The following is a 2,790-nucleotide window of genomic DNA, read 5'->3' on the forward strand; positions in this document are numbered from 1 at the left end:
TTTTTTTTAAAGTTTGTATGCACATAATTAAACATCTCAAGTTTAATTACTAATCCTTCAATATTACAAGAGTTGCCATACCACAGCTATGATTGATGGTTGAAAAACAGCAAATATTTACTATTTTAGTAATGCTATATAGCCAGCATTATCAACCAAATCTAAACTTGAATATAAAATATGGAGTTAAAACTAAAAAATCAATTAATTTAAAAAGATGCATTTGCTGTAAATATTATATGGCAAATAAACTAGGTAACATTTCTCTGAAACCTAACTTTAATTTTTAAAAAAATTATCTTGAAATGTCTATAATGTCTAAAATATATTTTTGAAATTTTAAAAGTCTGAACTTACTATTTGTTAGATAAGAATTATTTTAGAAATGAAAACAAAAATCAAAATCAAATATGCTCAGAAATCTTGACAATTAATGTAAAAAAGGGCCAATCACAATGGAATTTTTTACTTGGTCCACTCCACCAGAATATCCTAAGAACATTTTTCTTGGTAAAATTAGTTTTTAAAGTTAGCAATATGAGTGTTCTTTATTTTTTCTGAGTAAAATAAAGAATAATAAATTGTGACTATTATTTCTAAAAAACAGTACACATCTCTAAACATATAAGGGAAGGATACATGTAATATACTGCAACATTCTTATTGGAATTATTTTAATCAAAGAGCTACCCTTCTTTATACTTTAATCTTTTAATTAGGCAGTGGAATTGCCTATACTTCAATGACTGATAAGTTAAGGACATTGTGAGGGAACATATCATCATGGCTCAGTATTTCTGCCCCGATTAAAGTTAAAAAAAAAAAAAGAGGCAGAAAACATCCATCTTTGGAAACAAAGAGTATGGCTAATGGTGAGAAACTCACGTTTCACCACTACTCATACCCTTTAAAATAAATTTACCTCGGCCGGGCACGGTGGCTCACGCCTGTAATCCCAGCTCTTTGGGAGGCCGAGGCGGGCAGATCACGAGGTCAGGAGATAAGAGACCATTCTGGCTAACATGATAAAACCCCGTCTCTACTAAAAATACAAAAAATTAGCCAGGCGTGGTGGCGGGCGCCTGTAGTCCCAGCTACTCGGGAGGCTGAGGCAGGAGAATGGCGTGAACCCAGGAGGCGGAGCTGCAGTGAGCCGAGATGGCGGCCACTGCACTCCAGCCTGGGTGACAGAGCGAGACTCCGTCTGAAAAAAAAAAGAAAAAGAAAAAAAGAAAAATACATACATAAATATATAAATAAATAAATTTACCTCAGCAACAGCAAAATGGATGAGGACTGAGTATTGTTGTTGTTGAATGCTCATGGATTGAAATCCATGCAAAGAATAGGGCATTCTTTGAGTGAACTTTGTCACTTGTTATCATAAAATTTCCGTGAGCTATGTTCTACATAAGCTAGAAAAGAAAGTCATTCCTCTTTTGGCAAGGTCCTAAAGCTCCCAAAATAAGTCTACTTTTTATTTATTTACTTATTTTTATCCAAACATATTTTGCAAAATGTTTTGAAGAGGCTTGCAAATAATTTATTCTAAGTCTATAACTTTTCAGAGAAATGCCTGAGGCTCTTATTTAGGGGACTGTTAATGTAAAGTGAGCTGTTATTCATAAAGTCAAGACTAAAATCCAATATCTATGTTTCTTATTTTTTCTTTGTAATTAGATCATTTTGTATCTGTATGTATCTTTGCTATTTAAATATTTTTATACATGCCGTTGGCTCTACTATGATACTCACTACATCCTGTTACATAAGAAAAACATCTTATATATCTACTAAGTCAATAAAGAAACTAAATCTCAGAATGGTACATTGTATCTGTTACTCTGAAGAATTTAAGGTTCATTTTCAGACATCTCTAAATACAGTTAATACTTTATAAAGTTTCTCTAATTGTCCAATTCGCCTAGACAAAACAACTCAGCCTCTAACTTCTGAGAAAATCTTAAGTTTTTATTTATAAAAAGCTTTAACCTTGCCAATAACAGTACAAGAAATATCATTTTTCATCTGGCTACAGCCAGTTTCTTACGAATCTCCACAGAACTGCCCCAATTCTCTTTGTCATGAAATTGAGAAAATTGAAGCTATTTATCAGTCCCAAAGAGTAGCATGCTAGGGTGTGAGACTTTCAATGACTTTGTTTTGACCTTGTTTCCTTTGGTGATTCAACATAGGTAAAATAGGCCTGATTGGTAAAGGCTTCAAGGTCACTCTTGGTTAAGAAAAAACAAAAAATGTAAACTAATATTGATAGATCAGCTCTAGTTGAATTTGAGAAATTCTAAACTTTAAGATAAGTTAATGTTCTGTAGTTGCACAAGCTATTGGAAAAAACATTTGAAGAATAATTATAATGTTTATTGATTTAGCTATTTCTAATTACTAATACTGATCCCTTTATGCTTCTGTTTAGTTAATTATAATGTTTTATTCTGCCATATGAATTTGACTAAAATTTGTGTGAATTCATTAAAACAAGTAGAAATTAACCTACTGAAAATGGGTGACTGAAGTAATTTCTGTTTATGGAATCAACATGCATCTCAGAACTCAACTAACATCATCATTCAGCATAGAGATTTTTTGACACCTTAAATTCTGAGAAAGTTGGAACCAATCCTCCTATGACCTGATAGAGTATGTTTACATGATAACACATAATTTTTGTCAACCAGTATTAAGGCAGTATAATTATCAAAATTGATGAGCAAAATTAATCAGTAATTTAAAAAATTATATTTGTTTTATTGAAATTTTTATCTGTCAATG

This window comes from Homo sapiens, chromosome 13 (assembly GCF_000001405.40).
Source record: "Homo sapiens chromosome 13, GRCh38.p14 Primary Assembly".
Classification (NCBI taxonomy): domain Eukaryota; kingdom Metazoa; phylum Chordata; class Mammalia; order Primates; family Hominidae; genus Homo; species Homo sapiens.